The sequence below is a fragment of the Homo sapiens genome, chromosome 9, assembly GCF_000001405.40.
Source record: "Homo sapiens chromosome 9, GRCh38.p14 Primary Assembly".
NCBI classification, from domain to species: domain Eukaryota; kingdom Metazoa; phylum Chordata; class Mammalia; order Primates; family Hominidae; genus Homo; species Homo sapiens.
The window spans coordinates 129,312,871-129,330,627 of record NC_000009.12 but is presented as its reverse complement, the minus strand read 5'-3'; the positions used below and the strand labels follow the sequence as shown (position 1 = coordinate 129,330,627).

Here is a 17,757-nt window from a genome sequence, read left to right as displayed (position 1 = left end):
CTCCTGTTCAAGATTCCCATGCTCCTTGGCATATTAAAGTAGACCCCTCTAGGCGAGGAAGCTGTTCCCTTAACATAGCACTTCTCAGGGGCCTTTGACCGTGGAACTCTGGTGTCAGAGCCTCAGAGCACGCTTTGGGACACAGAGCCAAACTGTCATGGCAACTGATTCCTTGAATACTTTAAACAATTGTGCCCAATACAAAACTAAAAATAGGCCAGGCCCAGTGGCTCATGCCTGTAATCCCAGGCACTTTGGGAGACTGAGGCAAGAGAATCACTTGAGGCCAGCCTGGCTGGGCAACATGGTAAAACCACTTCTCTAACAAAAACAACAAAAGCCAGGCATGGTGGCACATACCTGTCATCCAAGCTACTTGGGAGGCTGAGGTGGGAAGATTGCTTGAGCCCAGGAGTTCGAGGTTCCTGGGTGACAAAGTGAGACCCTATCTTTAAAATTAAAGGCTGCGGTGAGATAAGATCATGCCACTACACTCCAGTTTGAACAATGGAACAAGATCTTGTCTCTAAATAAATAAATAAAAATTAAAATAACTAAAAATACTCACAGCCTAATATCCAGAGTCTGACCGGGCATGGTGGCTCATGTCTGTAATCCCAGCACTTTGAGAACCTGAGGCGGGAGAAACATTTGGGGTCAGGAGATCGAGACCAGCCCAGCCAACGCTGCAAAACCCTGTCTCTACTAAAAATACAAAAATTAGCTGGGCGTGGTGGCAGGCGACTGTAATCCCAGCTACTCAAGAGGCCGAAGCAGGAGAATCGCTTGAACCTGGGAGGCAGAGGTTGCAGTGAGCCGAGATGGCGCCATTGCACTCCAGCCTGGGCAACAGAGAGAGACTCTGTCTCAAAAAATAATAATAATAATAATAATATCCAGTGTCTGACCTACAGCATAAGATATAAGGATGAGATGGCTGCTCCGCCATGATGGGCCCCTAGCTCCTGGCTCCTTTTCTGGCTGAGGGGCTGGTTTGCCCCGGGCCACCTCTGGCCCCTCCCATCTTATTATTAGTATTATTATTATTATTATTATTTTGAGACGCAGTCTTGCACTGTTCCCTGGGCTGGAGTGCAGTGGCGCGATCTCGGCTCACTGCAACCTCTGCCTCCCAGGTTCAAGCGATTCTCCTGCCTCAGCCTCCCAAGTAGCTGGGATTACAGGCACCTGCCACTACGCCCAGCTAATTTTTTTTTCTTTTTTTTTTGGTATTTTTAGTAGAGACGGGGTTTCACCATGTTGGCCAGGCTGGTCTCAAACTCCTGACCACGTGATCTGCCCTCGGCCTCGGCCTCCCAAAGTGCTGGGATCACAGGCGTGAGCCACCACGCCCGGCCTACTCCCATCTTACAATGAGTGGTGTTGGGCCAGGGTCTGGCCAGGGACCTCAGCCCATTTGGGGAGCACTTGGGATTCAGACTTTGAATCCCAAACCCTAGTGCCAGCTCCCATCAGCTCTGCCACACAAGGACACATGGGACACATGGGTTGGGCTGCACCCTTGAGCCCCCACCCCTTCGTGGTTGCTGCATCCGGAACACCAAGGCTGGGTATTTCTCAGTGGGAATGAAACCATGGTCTTAAAACACAAGCCACTGGAAAATAGCATTTGATATAGAAAAATTCATTTTACAGCAACTTTTTAAGAGTGGATCCGCCCCCTTCAGCAACGGAAGGCCGTGCTCAGAAAACCACATTCTTTCAGGTCCCTGGGGCTGCGTGGGGGTGGGAATAGAAATCTGTCTACACGCTGCAAGGCAGAGGTCTTTTCTTCTGTTAAAAACATAATTTTACCCTCATGTTGCTTCGTGTTTCCTGGCACATGCATTCTGGGGCTCTCGGGCCTTTCTGGAGGCATCTCTGCAGACATCAAGTGGCCTGCCCACTTCCCTCCAGCCAGAGGCTCAGGCGTGGGCACTGAGGGTGAAAAGAATTCGTAACACCCTTACTACAAAGAATGTGGTCCCAGCTGGCACAGCCTCCATCTCACCTGGGAGCCCCTGGCCAGGCCTGCTCCCTCAGAACCTGCATCTGAACGAAACCCCACAGCGAGTCAAGGCACATTAAGGTTGGGGAACGCTTGGATGCACCCTGGTTGCAGGGTGCCCTCTGCCTGCCTCCTAAGGGGCGGCCACACCTGCCTTCCTCCCTCCCCTTCCAGGGCCCCTGTCCCATCACAGACCACTCCTCAGAGGGACTCCAGAGGAATTTCCCAAGACCCATTTCCATGTTTATTCTATACCACAGCATCCCTCTCTCATCACAGAAATCCAGCAAGATGATCATTGCATCACATGGTGGGAAGTCAGGAGACCTGAAAGAGAGGTGACAGCGACATGAAAGACACTTGGCCCTTACAGAGCACTCCCAACCCAGGAGGGAGACCCTGGGACCCAAGGTCTCAGAGAGGGGAAGTCATCTCCCCAAGGACAGCCTACTAAATGGCAGAGTCAGGGTGATCCCACAGCCACTGAGTTGTCCCTGGATACCCTGCTGTCCAGGGGAAGTGGGAGTGGCCACGGGGATGGTCAGAACTGCACCTCCATCCAACTGGCTTAGCCCAGCAGTTCCCAATTGGTTCCGTGGAGCAAGCCTTCAAAGGCTCTCTGGTGTGGGGACTGGCTCCATGCTATTCACAGCCTCTCCCAGTCCCTGACGGTCACTGCACCTTTACTGCAGGCCAGGCCGCCCCAGGCTTCCTCCACCACATTTCTTTGCTTTGGGTGGGATGGTGTCAGCCCACTGTGCCTGTTCAGTCTGCTGGGAGCTGATGGGAGTTAACAGGCATCATCTCTGCCCTTCAGTAACCCAAAATGAGAACGCTTATGTTACTTAACAAATGCAGTTTGCTCGTTGGGCAAACATGGGCCTTGGGGCAAATAACAGAAGAAGGGACTTTCCCAGTGGGAACAGAGAGAGGAATTAGTTGAGAAATTTGAGGTGCAGAAGGGAAGGCATTTGTCGGGATTATTTTTCAGCGGTGGCACCTGCTCTCTTATCCTTTTTTTTTTTTTTTTTTTTTTGAGATAGAGTCTTGTTCTTGTCCCCCATGCTGGAGTGCAATGGCACGATCTCTGCTCACTGCAACCTCCACCTCCCAGGTTCAGGTGATTCTCCTGCCTCAGCCTCCTGAGTAGCTGGGATTACAGGTGCCTGCCACCACACCCGGCTAATTTTTGTATTTTTAGTAGAGACAGGGTTTCGCCATGTTGTCCGGGCTGGCCTCGAACTCCTGAACCCAAATGTTTCTCCCACCTTGGCCTCCAAAAGTGCTGGGATTACAGGCGTGAGCCATCGCACCTGGCTTTTTTTTTTTTTTTTTTTTTTTTTTGAGACGGAGTCTTACCCTGTTGCCCAGGCTGGAGTATAATGGCGCGATCTCAGTTCACTGCAACCTCCACCTCCTGGATTCAAACGATTCTCCTGCCTCAGCCTCCCAAGTAGCTGGGATTACAGGCATGTGCTACCACGCCTGGCTAATTTTTTTTTATCTTTAGTAGAGACAGGGTTTCACCATGTTGGCCAGGCTGGTCTCGAACTCCTGACCTCATGATCCGCCCATCTCAGCCTCCGAAAGTGCTGGGATTACAGGCGTGAGCCACCATGCCTGGCCCATCTTTTCTTTAAAATAAAGTCTTTGTTTCCCCACTCCCACCCAGCCCTGCTGGCGATGGGGGTGGCCACAGGCTGCCCTGTGAGGCCCAGGATGGGAAGGGGCACCTCGTGCACTCATCCTGGGTTTTCGCTAGATGCTCCTCGTCCCCCGTTCTCTTGCAAGCTGTCCTCGAGGACATGTGGGCTCTTGTTTGCAGGTTTCAGGGGAGCCTGGCAGAATCCAGCCGCAGACACATTTGAATTTCTTGTAGAAACCTGCACCAAGCGTGGGGGTGCGGCCAGCCCAGAAGCATTCCAGGGAGTGGGGTCTCTGTGGGGCTTCCACCCCAGCTGCTTCCCTGGCTCCTCCCAGGCAGACCTCTTCCCTCCCCTACCCCTCTCACTTCCACCCCACAACCCACAGGAGATTGGAGGCCTTGGAGATACTGGTCAGGAGAGTGCAAAGGTTAAAGGTGAGAGCTGGAAGGTCAGATGGATACAGCAGGTGCTGCTATCAACTGGCAACTTCAGCTCGTAGCCTCTGCCCCAGACACATTTTCTCCATCTGCCAGCAGCCTGGAGGAGGTGGGGTCCCCAGAGCCCATGACGGCCGGAATGCGTCTTCTCCATTCTGGACTGGAAGCCACCTCTGGGCACAGCACAGGATTGCAGGGGAGGGACACAAGGGCTTCTTTTTTTTTTTTTTTTTTTTTTTTGAGACAGGATCTCACTGTGTTGTCCAGGCTGGAGTACAGTGGCACAATCAAGACTCACTGCAGCCTCAACCTCCCAGGCTCAAGTGATCTTCCTACCTCAGCCTCCAAGTAGCTGGGACTACAGGTGCACACCAGCATGTTCCACTAATCATCTTACTCTTTGTAGACACTGGGTCTCACCCTGTTGCCCAAGCTGGTCTCAAACTCCTGGGCTCAAGTAATCCTCCTGCCTCAGCCTCCCTAAGTGTTGGGATTACAGATATAAGCCTGGCCCACAAGGGGTACTTAGAAATGGTTTTTACGTGTCTAGTAGCTGGACACCCAGGTTCAGAGGTCTCCAGGACCATGGGCCAGGACATTCTTGGGAAGGGAAAGCCAACTAGGTCTCAAATACGGCTTAAAAAGGAGTCCACTTAGATGTAAAAGATGCACCATCCATTCACAATGAACGACCTGAACTCTGATGCGGACACACCGCCAGGAGACTTTTGAGACGGAGTCTCGCTCTAGTGCCCAGGCTGGAGTGCAGCGGCGTGATCTCAGCTCAAAGCAATCTCTGCCTCCTAGGTTCAAGCGATTCTCCTGCCTCAGCCTCCCGAGTAGCTGGGATTACAGGCATCCGCCACCACACCCGGCTAATTTTTTGTATTTTTAGTAGAGACGGGGTTTTCCCATGTTGGCCAGGCTGGTCTTGAACTCCCGCCCTCAGGTGATCCACCCACCTCAGCCTCTCAAAGTGCTGGAATCACAGGCGTGAGCCACTGCACCTGGCCAAGAAGACTATTTTTAAGCAAGGTCTGTGGGGGTCTTTTCAGTGATTTTGTATGGGATGGATCAGTTCTGCAGCCCTGGGTGGCCCCTCTTAGGCCCATGTGTTCACAGTCTGTGGATGTATCCCCCTCTCCTGGGAGATGTAAGCGACTCCAGGGCAGGGACCATGTGTGGTTCACGCTTGTTCCCAGAAAGCTCCCCCAGTGCCCAGCTGCCAGAACTCAAAGTCTGTCTGGGGTCGGGGATGTGTCTCCCCCACCAAGCTGAGCCTTGCTGAAGACCAGGACTCCATCCTGCCCACTGGAGCACCTGGGGCTCAGGCCCACAGCTGGGCTACTGACTTTTCTCACTGTGGGACCTTCAGCCGGGCCTCTTAGCTCCCTGTGCATCTTCCTTATCTGGGAAGTGGCAGTTTCATCTAGTTGCACCTCATGGGGTGGAGGTGAGGATGACCTGGGCTGTGAAGAGGCTGGCATGTCACAGTGCACAGACCTGCCCACAAGTGGGGCCTTGCTGTCTGGCACTCCCCATGCAACGCTGGACACAAGGAAGGTGCTGGTACTGCCTGGAGTTCAGGCAGATGTTTTTCCAAAATAACATTTCTTTCTTTCTTTTCTTTTCTTACAGAGTTTTGCTCTTGTTGCCCAGGCTGGAGGGCAATGGTGCGATCTCAGCTCACCACAACCTCCACCTCCCGGGTTCCAGCCATTCTCCTGCCTCAGCCTCCCCAGCAGCTGGGATTACAGGCATGCACCACCATGCCCGGCTAATTTTGTATTTTTAGTAGAGACGAGGTTTCTCCATGTTGGTCAGGCTGGTCTCAAACTCCCAACCTCAGGTGACCCACCCGCCTCAGCCTCCCAAAGTGTCGGGATTACAAGTGTGAGCTACCATGCCCGGCAACAACATGTCTTAAGTACAGGGATAACAATGGTGTGTTATTGGTGGGAGATGTGAGGGTTTGCTTTTGTTTTTTGTTTTTAAGGGAAAGCTTGACATTTCTCTGCTTTATCCCATTCCCCAGCAGACTAACACCAACCAAGCTCCTGCTGCCGGGACAAGCACTGTACTGAGCCACATATTAATGAACAGGAATTCAGGACATTTGGAAACCAAATTCCAAAGGCTCCAGGGTAAGGAGAGAGAGATGACCTCCTGGGACCCCGCCCTCCTGCCTGAGCCCAGAACCCTAGAAGCCAGTCCCAGCTGCGGACACGTGCCCACGCCAGCCCCCCACACACGGTGCTCTCTGAGTCCAGGCATGCTCATGGTCTTTTGAGGAGAGAGATTGATTGCGTTAGGGACCTTGCACCTACAAAATCCATCAGCCTGTACATGGACGGACATTCGCTCAGGACAAACAAAACCCAGCAAACTCTAATATCCACGTGCAGGGCCTCTCCGGCAGTGAGTGACGGCAGTTTTGGTCTTTTGGCGAGACATCAAGCAAGACACTTTCCATGCAGGAACTCAACCTGTCCCCATTTCACAAGTGAGGAATCCAAGGTTCAGAGAGGTCAAATGAGACTCCCAAGGCCACTCAGTGGCAGGGCCAAGCTCTAACCCTGAGAGTCTCTGATTATAACCCCGGTCTCACCAGGACACCTGCTTAAACCCCTCTGAACCAGGGGTCCCCCAGGAGATAAGCAACAGGTAACAAGTGCACATATGAATACCCAGGCCAGTCATCACATAGTAAGGTTATATGTACTGAGAAAACTTCTCAGAGTGGGAATCAAAGTGACAAAGATGGAAAATTTGAATCAGGTCACGCAAAACCGAGTGACTCTAGAAGAATGCAGCTTCTCTGAGACTGAGCTAACTCTGGCCAACTTTTGCGTGATTCCCAGATAAGCAAGGAAAAGGTTGGGGGGGCAGACAGCAGTTCAGAGGCCTCTCTGGTTTTAGTATAAGGGCCTGAGAATGGGCGGAGGGGGGGAAGACCCAGGCTCTGAGGCTGTCTTGGGCTGGGGGTCTCTTAAGCAACTGTGTGAGGGGGGAGCCAGAAGTGGACTCTTGAGCCAGACAAATCTGATGTTTCTTCCAAGCAAGCCATGTGACCTCTCTGACCCTCAGTCTCTTCATCTGAAATGTGTCCAGCAAAGCTTTATTGACTAGCTGCTCCATGCGGGGCTGATGCTGGGTGCCAGGGACTCAGCAATGAACGGGGGAGACCAGATTGGAGCCCTCACCAAGCTCACTCCTAACGGGGAGACAGCGAATTTGGAGATGAGCAGATTCTGCCATCAGCTCTAAGGAAATAATGCAGGGATGAAATAATCCCTTTCTCGGGTGGGGCTCAGGGTGGGCATCCGAGTCAAGGCTGAGTCCAGCACGGACCCCGGGGTGAGCGCTCAGTCGGCGGAAGCTGCTTTTGAGGCTGCAGAAGTTCTATTACCATAACCTGAGTAAAACGGGGCTGCCTTGGGGGCCAGTCTCATCACGGTGTCACCCTCAAAAAAACACCAGTCTGACATCCCCAAATCATTGAAAAAAAGTTTAAATCTTCCCAAAATCTTTCAAAGAGACACCAAAGGGGAAATGGTTTGCGTACCACACACAAAAGATGTTTTCAAGCCTCTCTGCCGGGAGGTCTCATGGTAGTTGCCTCTGGAATATCTCCCTTCCCGCTCCCTCCTTTTTATCCTTATCAGAGAGGTGGGAGCGCTGGGCCTGGCCCCAGGAGACAGGGGACTGGGCTGGATCCAGCCTCTGTCCTCCCTAGCTGTGGGCTCCTGGGTGCATTGCTTAACTACTCTGTGCCTCAGTTTCCTCATCTTCAAATTATAGCTAACAATCGCACCACCTGCAAGGGGCTCTTGTGGGAATTCTAGGAAATAATCCCCATGAAGTGCATGAGAGAGGCAGGCACACAGCTAGACTGTTGACGTGTGAGCTACTAATATGATTTCTCTCTGCTTCCCTCACCCACCTTTCCTTTGCACCCCACCCCAGTTAGGAGCTCTGGGCAGTGCCTCCTATAGGTCAGTATGTGTTTTCTAGGTCCCACCGCTCAGCGGCAGCTCCACCCACTGTCCCAGACAGCACAGGGAAAAGGCCAGGGATGGACAGGCAGAACTGGGAACTTTCTTAGGAGGGGACAACAGGGCCTGGGACCATGTTTACCCCTGCCCCCTCTAAGGTTGCATCCTCTCTTACATGGGACACACAAAGGGCAGTGTCCCCCGGGCATCAGTGCTCTGAGGGCAGAGCCAAGCGAATGTCCCCTTAGGGCCTGCCGATGTGCTGGGGAAACGTGGTTCCCCACCCATGAGGCTGCTGCTTGCTCCAAGCCTGGGTGCCATGGCCAAGATGGCTCTACCTGGCTGCCAGGGTCACAGAGCAGAGGATTCAGATGTCTCACTTCCTGAGGGTCTCCAGGCCAGGCCCTGGCAACACAGCTGTGAACAGCCATGTGGTTCCTGCCCTCATGGAGCTCACAGCCCTGTGTGCAAAGCAGGCAATCAGGGCCTAAGCATGGGGTGCGAAACCCAGAGTGGGCAGAAGAGGACGGGCTGGGCACCAGAGAGGACTTCCCAGAGGAAGAGGCACTGAAGGGAAGGGCTCGGATGGGAAGAAAAGGGGTTCCAGGCAGAGGCCACAGCCTGGGCAAGGGCCTGGGAGAGAAAAGTGGTGGGTTCCAGGAGCTGCAGGCTTCCTCGCCCACCTCCCCCGACAGGTGAGGTTTATCGCTCAAGGCCACATACGCCATCTCACGTGGTCCCCGCTGCCACCTGGAGAGGTCAGAGGGCAGGAACTCTTACTCCCAATTCACACTGGGACAATTCCCAGCTGGACTAGAACCCCGATCTCCTGACTCCTGGCTCAGGTGAGAGTCAACATGCAAGGCTGGGCCCACAGCAGCCCTGGCATTTGACCAGCAGCCAGGTAGGCCCAATTTTCATCACCTGCCTTTAACAGATGAAGAAATTGAGGCTTAGGGAGAGCACAACACCCCTCAACTGCCGCAGTTTTTGTCTGTCTGGGGGCCCTAGGACAAGCCTGAGGTGCGGAAAAGCCCTCCCTGGGTGGGGCAAGAAACAGAGCTGGGAACGGGTGACTTGGGGTGAAGGAAGGAGGGGAGCGGGGATGGGTTTTGGAAATCCACACTGGGCAGGGAAAGGCGAAGGAATGTGGGTGAGACGGGGTGCGCCAGTCCCGGAGGGGCCCAGGGCCTCAGGCAGCCCCCTCCCTCCTTGCCTCCCAGGTGAGACCCTAACTTCGCGGAAGACGACACCCCTCAGCTGGGCGGGGAGGAGGGCCACCGCCTCCTGGCCACCCAATCAGAGACATTCCCAGTCTGATGGCGGAGGCCGCCAGGGCCAAGGGCTCCCAGGGCCTTCCCCGGGGAACCCCCGAGACCTGCCCCGGACTCGGAGGCCCACCGCGCATCGCCCGCCCCCAGCCTCATTAGCACCGACACCCGTCGTCCTCCCCTCGGTTTCCGATGGCTCCAGAATTTAAAGGTTAAATCCTAACCTCGTCTCAGCAGTTTCTCCCGGCTTTGCCTACCCAGCGCCAGTTGCTGGTAATTATATGCATCTCCGAGCAGCCAATCAGCTGTCAGACTGACAGATACTGATCTTTTCGTTTTATTTTTAGCTCTGTGCTTCCCCCTCTAGTTGCAAAAAAAAATTCTGTTTGTTCTGTGTGCTGCTGCCTCGCTCCCAGCCCTGCAGCCGGCTCTCATCTCCGCCAGCCAGGCGGGAGCAGGCAGCCGCCGGGGCTGGAGCCTGCGGTCCCCGCCCGAAAGCGGGGAACAGAACGTGCCCGCCGCCCCCGAGCTGCGGACCGCCCTGCCCAGAGCAACCCCCGGGGCTGCCATGGGGAAGGGAGGAGGCCGGGGCGCTGTGGGCACCTTGGATGCAAACACCCGAGGAGCTGTGCTCAGTCTTGGGGGCCACGCACGGGTGGAAGCAAGCCCGTACCTGCGGGCTGGGGGCTTGGAGAGAAAGACACACACAGAGACAGCGAGAGACAGAGAGACGTACACAGGCAGAGACAAGCTAGACTGAGGGCGGAGGGGAAAAAAGACAAGCACTTTCCCCCCTGGAAGCACTCGTCCCCCATCCCCCAGAACCGAACAGAAGGGGTCAGGAATGGCCTCAGCCCCGCCCTGGAGTGGGGCTCAGAGGGGAGTTTCCAGCCCCGGGCCCCCCAGAGCTCGGGCCGGGAACCTGGGCCTCCCCTCCCAGGTCTGCTGCCTCATCTGCCACGGAAGGGCGAGTGAAGTGCTCTTCGGGGTCATTTGTGAGTTGTTCTGCAAGGTTCTGTGGGCCTTCCTGGAGACTGGCAGGTGTAGGGGCCTGGCCGGAGGGAGGCCGCTATTCATACAGCTTCTCTGGAGGGAGAGACAGCAACTGAGGGCCAGGGAAGCTCTTAGGTCCCAGTGAGTCTCCCAGACAGTGGAGGGGTCTGATCCAGGGGGGCCGGCCCTGAAGAGTGATGGGAATGATTGTGAAGTTTCCTTCCATCCTCGCGGCTCTCTACAATTTGCAAAGTGTTCACTTTGCCCTAGTGGCCTCTCCTTCTGCCCCACAGTTAGCTCCAGAATGGAGTGAAATAGGGGTCTGGGAGGCCTGGGGAGGCTCACCTGTTTTCTGATGGGCCCTGGGGCCGGCGTCGGGGGAGTGTGGCCTAATGGTTCCGTCTTTGAGGTACAACTCACCTGGTTCAAGCCCCAGGGCTGCTGTTTACCAGCTCTGCGACCCTGAGTGAATGGCTCGAGCTCTCTTGGCCCCAGTGTCCCCATTGGGAAGGTGGGCCCCCACCCCACCCTGCACCCCCACAGGGTGGCTCAGGGCCAGAAGTCACTCCGTCTGGGTGCTCCTCCCGGCCCCGGCCTCCACGGGCCCGGCACACTTGTGAGCAGGTATTATTAGCTTCTCCGTTTTGCGGATGGGGAAACTGAGGTTCATGTGACTCGTAATTGGCAGAACTGGGACTAGAAACACCCCCCCACTTTTGGCTTCCTTTTCTCTGACACCACAGATGGCGCGCTGAGAAAAAAGAGAAGAGCGGGAGAAGGGAATTAGGAGCCCGAGAGAGATGGAGGGAGGCAGAAGCGCCGTGATCAATTACTTGGGCTATAAATTTCTGCTGTTTTGCAAAGTGAGCACACAGCCTCCGAGAGGCAGAGCTCCCTGGGCAGGCTCTGGAGAAACCAAACAGAGCCAAGCCCTGCAGCAGGCGCTTTTGATGGTGGGAACCGGGGAGGGAGAGGGGTCGAGCTCAAGGGTGGGTGGGACAAGCTGGGGGTGCAGCAGAGGGGGCCAGGGGAGGGCCAGAGGAGAGGAAGGAAACCCAAGTGTCAGTGAGCTTGGGAGCTGTGGGAGCCCCCTGGGGAGGGATCGGCTTCGTGCCTCCCCGGCATTCTCTCCCGCTGCTGGGGGTAGGAGAACCAGGCCTGGGCACAAGATCGTGGCCCCCTGCCACTGCATTCGAAGCTGGTACAGGGCCAGGGCGGGGGCGACGGGGGGCAGGAGGCCCTTTGAACCTCACCTTCCTTATCTGTCAAATGGGGATACTGATGACATCCATCCCCAGGGATTGGTATCTAGGGTATAAGTGGCTTAGCCTGGGGCCTGGCACACAGCAAGGAGAGTTGTTGTTGTAAATTTTTTGGAAGATTACCAAGGGCAGAAGGGTTTGGTAACTGGTGGTTTGGAGACCAACTTAATTATTTAAAAGGTGGAAAGTGGTCCCCGCTGGGAGGAAGGGTGATGGAAAGAGTTTCCCACAGTGGGGATAGGTTGGGCACGGCATTAGACCTGTCTCTTGGTCTCCCAGACATGGAGGGGCTGTGGACAGGGGCCAGGATGCTGTGTGTAGCTGGGAAAAGAGGCCAGAGCCAGCTGCCTGGACTCCACCTTTCTGGAGCCCTGCAGTGGCTCACTTAGGAAATGAGCCGGAAACAGAGGCCGGCTTCTCTCTTTGGAATCCGAGTGCCCCAGGGAACATGGGATCCTGGGAGCAACCCCCTCAGGGCCTTCCACACTGTGGAACTGCAAAGAATGTGGCGTTCCAGAAGCGGCCCCTGTGTGCTCAACCTTCTACTGTGTAGGAGGAAGTTCACAGTGAGCCAGCGCGGGCCCTGCCCACAGGGAGCAATTTGTCAGGGAGAAGGGAAAAAAATAGATACACCTGACCCCTGAACCTTGGTCTTTCAACCCCAGACAATGGTCAAAGTAAATGGGAGGCCGCAGGATGGAAGAAGAAGGCCACAGACTACAGACACGAGGAAGGAGGAAAGCAGGGGTGGGAACCTGAGGGCAAGGGGTGAAGCCCAGAGTCACTGTAAATCAGAGCCCCAGAGAAGATGCCCTGAGGTTCAGGCAGGCGCTAGGCTCAGGGCCGGAGGCAGACACTCTCCAGCTTCAGGGATCCCAGGCCAAAGGCACTGGAGGAGCTCTCTATTTTAAAGGAGCCCTGAGATGGATTCCTTTTCAGTGGAAAAGGACTTCCCCTGGATGGGGATGATGAAAATGTTGACTTAGTCATAACAAATGTAAGAAACAGCCCCCGAAGAGAAGTTTATTTCTTGCTTGCATTACAGTCTCCTGGGGGCTGGTGGAGGGAGGGGCAAGGGCTCTGCTCCATGTGGTCACTCAGGGGCCCGGGCCCCTTCACCCCGTGACCCTGTCATCACCTAAGGCCTTATCCTCCTCTGCTGCAACCATGTGGGAGAAGAAAGAGGGAGCATGGAGGATAGCATGGAAGGATGCTTGTGGACCAAGCTAAACCAGGAGCAGAGGAGCCACATCATTTCAGCTCCCGTTGCACAGGCCAGAGCCGGGTCATGTGACCACTCCCAGCTGCAAGGGAGGCTGGGAAATGCAGTCCAGCTGCATGCCCAGGAGGAAGCCAATGAACCAGGGTTTGGTGAAAACATAGCAATCTCTACCTCAAACGCTGTCCTCTTCAGGTGGATGAGTTGACATGAAGCGATACTAACAAAGTGCCCACTGTACCTGGCCTCTGACCTGTGTGCCAAAGCTGCTCATCTGGAAACCCAGAGGCTGGTCACCTTAGGGTCAGGACAGGCCTCTGAAGGCTGCTCCTCCACCTCCTCTGGAAACTGTACCTTAAAGCATGCCAGCCTGGGCAACATGGCGAGACCTCGTCTCTACTAAAACAACACAACAACAAAAATTAGCCAGGTATGGTGGCTGGCACCTATAGTCCCAGCTACTCGGGAGGCTGAGATGGGAGAATCACTTGAGCCCGGAAGATCAAGGCTGCAGGGGGCTGTGATCACGCCGCTGCACTCCAGCCTGGGTGACACAGTAAGATTCTGCCTCAAAAAATAATAAAAGTAAAAATAAAGTGTGCAGAGAAGGAACAAGGGGAGTAGAGGAAAGTTTTTTGGTCTAAGGAAAGCAGCTAAAGCCTTTATCAGATTCCCAAAAATTTGAAGCAAAAGGACTTAAAGAGAAGTGGACCACTGCCTATTAAAGCAACAGCCTTGGTACCAACACATTGGTCCTTATGAGCCCAACTACACAGAAGCTGAGGATTCCCCAGCTGTCATCCCCTCTCCCCAACCAGGCACGCCCCATAGACCTCCAGGGTCAGGGCAGGGAAGGCCCCCACCGATCCTCAGCAGCAAACACACCACCAGTCCAAGTCAGCCACGATGACCAAAGCAGCCACAGGGCCTTGGGGCGTCAGCATGGGAGGCGCGTTCAGCCGTGCAGTTGGAGAAACTGAGGCCCAGAGAGGGGCCATCTTGCCCAGGGTCATGCAGTGAGTTAGGGCAGAGTCGGGTGGCATTCAGTGTCTAACCAGTCAGGTTTCTGTGGTTATAAGCAAGAGAAATGGACTTCGTTTGACTTGAGCAGAAAGGGGCTTTATCATCAGACCAAGAGGGAGCTCAGAGAATGGAAGCAAAGGCTGGAGATCCAGGCGGGCCTTGGTGAGGATGGGACGAAACCAGGGCATCTTCCAGAGCCAGGAAAGACTCAGTGACCACCCCAGGGGTTGGCCATCAAGAATGAGGCCAGATGGGCATCTATCTTCAGGGTAGGATGGCTGGTGACCAAGATGGGGCTCCAGGCCTGCTGTGGGTTGAATGTGTCCCCCAAATTTCATGTGTCATGAAGAACTTAATCTCCAGTGGGGCAGTATCGAGAGGTGGGAGCTTTAAGACGTGATTGGAGCATGAGGGTTCTGCCCTCAGGAATGGATTAATGCATTCATGGATTTCAGTGTATTAACGGGTCATCATGGGAGGGAAACTGGTGGCTTTATAAAAAGAAGAGAGGCTTGAGCCAGCTCATGGGCCACTCTGCCCCCTTGCCATGTGATGCCCGGCACTGCCTGGAGACTGCACAGATCCCAACCAGCAAAAAGGGTGTCACCGAATGTGGTCCCTCAACCTGGGACTTCTCAGCTGCCATAACTATAAGAAATACATTCCTTTTCTTTATACATTACCCAGTTTCAGGTATTCTGTTATAAGCAACAGAAAACAGACGAAGACAAGGCCCATCCCTTGGCCAGGCAGGACAGGGGCATCTAGGCTGACAGCACACTCCCCAGGCTACACACACTGGGAGAGGTCCCCATGAGGCAACTGGGGGGCTCTTGCCAGAAAAGGGGGGCTTGGGTGCTGGGCTGGCCAAAACAGCAGATGTCCACCCTGGCCTCCTGCACCGGGGTTGTGCAATCAAAACAAAACAAGCACGGGGCTGGTTTCCTGCAGCCAAGAGCTATGGGCTGACCAGGGAGTCCGGCCCAGAGCACAGCCGAGAATCAGGGAAAACAGAGGCTCTCTGCAAGCTCGCTCTGCAAACCTGGGACCCGGATTCCAGGCTCTGCGGCTCCCTCAGGAGACTGGCAGCTCCCTGAAGGCAGTAAGGGAGGCTCCTGGCCCCACTCCAAGCTGGGCTTATGTGGGGCTCGCTCAGGCCAGTCTGTGGAGATGTCACAAGCCAGGGATTCACACTGAAGGAGGAGCTGAGGCCGAGGGCTGGGGGTCCAGGTGGAATTTATCCCAGGGGGCTGGGAGGTGGAGCGGGGAGAAAGTCCGGGAAGTCCAGAAGGGCCTGACTCAGGAGCTCAGCGCTGGTTTCACTCCCCACCTCCCCACCCCACCCCCACCCTGGCTCCGGGGGGAGGCCAGTGGCGATACTCAGTGTTCATGCTGGCAGGAGCGAGAAACCAGAGAGAGAGGAGGGATGGTGGGACGGTCAGTTTCCTGTGTCCACTCAGGGGAGGCTGCAGTCCCCACCTCTTGAATCAAACATGAATCTCTGTGTTGCCAGGAAGGTATTTTGCGGATGCGATTAAAGTCCATGATTGCCAGCCGGGGGCGGTGGCTCATGCCTGTAATGCCAGCACTTTGGGAGGCTGAGGCGGGTGAATCACTTGAGGTCAGGAGTTCGAGACAAGTCTGGCCAACATGGTGAAACCCCGTCTCTACTAAAAATACAAAAATTCGCCAGACATAGTGGCCTATGCCTGTAATCCCAGCTACTCGGGAGGCTGAGGCACGAGAATCATTTGAATCCGGGAGGCAGAGGTTCCAGTGAGCTGGTGCCATTGCACTCCAGCCTGGGTGACAGAGCAAGACCCTGTCTCAAAATAAATAAATAGTCCATGATTGGTTGACTTTAAGAAAGGGAGATTGTCGGCCGGGTGTGGTGGCTCACGCCTGTAATCCCAGCACTTTGGGAGGCCAAGGCGGGCGGATCACGAGGTCAGGAGATCAAGACCATCCTGGCCAACACGGTGAAACCCCATCTCTACTACAAATACAAAAACATTAGCCGCGCCTGGTGGCGGGTGCCTGTAGTCCCAGCTACTCGGGAGGCTGAGGCAGGAGAATGCTGTGAACCCGGGATGTGGAGCTTGCAGTGAGCCAAGATCACATCACCGCACTCCAGCCTGGGTGAGAGAGCGAGACTCCATGTCAAAAAAAAAAAAAGAAAGAAAGAAAGAGAGAGAGATTGTCTCAGATACTCTGGGTGGGCCTGACTCAATCCGGTGAAAGGCCTTAAGAACAGGGCTGGTGCTTCACTGCCTGTGGATGGCAGCGTGTGCCCAGGTGGAGATTTCCAACTGCCCTTTCCGACAGCCTGCCGTCTAGACTTCAGACATGCTTCTCCAGCCCCCACAATTGCATGAGCCAATTATTTGTAATAAATCTCCTACTATCGACCTCTTACTGCTTCTGTTTCTCTAGCAGAACCCTGACCAGCACAGCTGGCGGGAGGACAGTGGGGAAGTGGGCTGGGAGGTTCTGAGGACCCTCTCTAGGTAGGAGCATCACACCTGCACAAACAAGCAATAACTAGGTCCTGTCCCTCACGCAGCTGGGAAGCAAGGACAGTGCCACCCTTAGGGGCCGTGCAGCCGTGGGTGCTGGCGTTCAGCAAGGTGGCTCAGAACTCCAGGGCAGGCCTGGCACAGTCATGTACAACTGTCCTTTGTCCCCCCAACACCACCCCCTTGAGTGGCAGACACATCCGTTAAACTCTGGCCTGCATAGACTTGATGCCTGTTATTTCTCTGAATCTGCAGAACACTGGACAAAAGAAGAGACTGAGGTCCAGACTTGCTCACTTGTCTAGGGGTTGAGATGGTCCCAGAGCTCTTTGAACCCCACCTCTCTCAATGAGGCTAAGGTGCCCATGTGACCATCAGACCCCCAACAGCGATACGGCCAGGTCTGTGGTCTGAGCTAACCTGGTGGAAGGATGGCTTCGAGGGGCTCTGTCCTGACCCATGTGGGCAAACACACACCCCAAGTCTGGCTGACAGTCCTCAGGGGAGGTGAGGGGCCTGCTGCGGAAGAGACTCCATCACTGTAAGCCTCCCTCCCCCAAGATCAAAGATCTCCAGAGACTTCAGGTCTCCTAAAATCTCTCCCCAGCCTCCTGGCCCCATTCTCACTGTGTCAGTAGGAGGCACAGCGGAGGCTTAGGAAGCATCCACGGCCCACCTGTGTTGGGACCTCAGGGGAAGTGTGGTGAGGTGCCACTCAGTGTCCTCTTCCTCCGGGACAAGGGGAGGAGCCACAGGAGCTGGGGTGGGGGTGGCAGGAAAGAAGATAAAGAAAGGAAGACCCCTGACTCCACCTCAGGCCGGCTCCAATAAGCAGCTGGGCCTGCAGGCCTATGGGTGGGAAGCCTGCGGGTAGCAGGGACATTTACTTTTTTTTTTCTAAGATGGTGCCTCACTCTGTCGCCCAGGCTGGAGTGCAGTGGTGCGATCATGGCTCACTGCAGCCTCCCGAGGCTCAAGCCATCCTCCTGCCTCCGCAGTAGCTGGGAACACAGGCACATGCTACCATGTCCGGCTAATTTTTTTTTTTAATTTTATTTTTTGTGGAGATGGGATCTCGCTGTGGTTCCCCAGCTGGTCTTAAGCATTTACTCTTATATACTGACCAAACATAAATACAAAGCCCACTGCCAGAGCCAGGCTTTGCTCCAAGCACCAACAATTGTTCACTTCTTTAATCTTCACAACGGCCCTTTAAGGGTGGAGAGACTATTACTGTCTGTCATACCCATTTTATAGAGGAGGAGACTGAGGCACAGAGAGGTTAACTCCTTGCCCAGGGCCCCACAGCCAACACATGGTGGCCCCGCCCCATCTCCCTAATCCCAAGGCCCCATCCACCTCTCCTCCTTCCTCAGACCTTGGAAGA

The 17,757-nt window shown here is 54.9% G+C and overlaps 1 long non-coding RNA gene across 1 annotated transcript, besides 7 other annotated features; it reads right to left on the bottom strand.

Moving 5' to 3' along the window:
• Positions 5,551-6,052: an enhancer, noted in NCBI's record as "H3K4me1 hESC enhancer chr9:132086855-132087356 (GRCh37/hg19 assembly coordinates)". NCBI's record gives its function as "activates a minimal SCP1, AML or CMV promoter by ChIP-STARR-seq in naive H9 embryonic stem cells {active_cell/tissue: H9 hESC(naive)}" and the evidence as "EXISTENCE:reporter gene assay evidence [ECO:0000049][PMID:30033119]".
• On the bottom strand, positions 8,025-9,612 carry LINC02913 (long intergenic non-protein coding RNA 2913). Its single transcript, NR_149714.1, has 2 exons — positions 9,582-9,612; positions 8,025-8,836 (listed from the first exon to the last, which is right to left on the bottom strand). It is a non-coding gene; the product is annotated as a long intergenic non-protein coding RNA 2913 (long non-coding RNA).
• Positions 8,094-8,661: an enhancer, noted in NCBI's record as "H3K4me1 hESC enhancer chr9:132084246-132084813 (GRCh37/hg19 assembly coordinates)". NCBI's record gives its function as "activates a minimal SCP1, AML or CMV promoter by ChIP-STARR-seq in naive H9 embryonic stem cells {active_cell/tissue: H9 hESC(naive)}" and the evidence as "EXISTENCE:reporter gene assay evidence [ECO:0000049][PMID:30033119]".
• Positions 8,662-9,230: an enhancer, noted in NCBI's record as "H3K27ac-H3K4me1 hESC enhancer chr9:132083677-132084245 (GRCh37/hg19 assembly coordinates)". NCBI's record gives its function as "activates a minimal SCP1, AML or CMV promoter by ChIP-STARR-seq in primed H9 embryonic stem cells {active_cell/tissue: H9 hESC(primed)}" and the evidence as "EXISTENCE:reporter gene assay evidence [ECO:0000049][PMID:30033119]".
• Positions 9,553-9,602: an enhancer, noted in NCBI's record as "active region_29111". NCBI's record gives its function as "activates an Ori minimal core promoter by ATAC-STARR-seq in GM12878 lymphoblastoid cells {active_cell/tissue: GM12878}" and the evidence as "EXISTENCE:reporter gene assay evidence [ECO:0000049][PMID:35858748]".
• Positions 9,803-9,922: a silencer, noted in NCBI's record as "silent region_20371". NCBI's record gives its function as "represses an Ori minimal core promoter by ATAC-STARR-seq in GM12878 lymphoblastoid cells {active_cell/tissue: GM12878}" and the evidence as "EXISTENCE:reporter gene assay evidence [ECO:0000049][PMID:35858748]".
• Positions 10,083-10,142: an enhancer, noted in NCBI's record as "active region_29110". NCBI's record gives its function as "activates an Ori minimal core promoter by ATAC-STARR-seq in GM12878 lymphoblastoid cells {active_cell/tissue: GM12878}" and the evidence as "EXISTENCE:reporter gene assay evidence [ECO:0000049][PMID:35858748]".
• Positions 16,935-17,104: an enhancer, noted in NCBI's record as "experimental_106889 CRE fragment used in MPRA reporter constructs". NCBI's record gives its function as "activates a minimal promoter by MPRAs in K562 erythroleukemia cells, with activity observed for the non-introgressed 9:132075888 variant allele {active_cell/tissue: K562}" and the evidence as "EXISTENCE:reporter gene assay evidence [ECO:0000049][PMID:34662402]".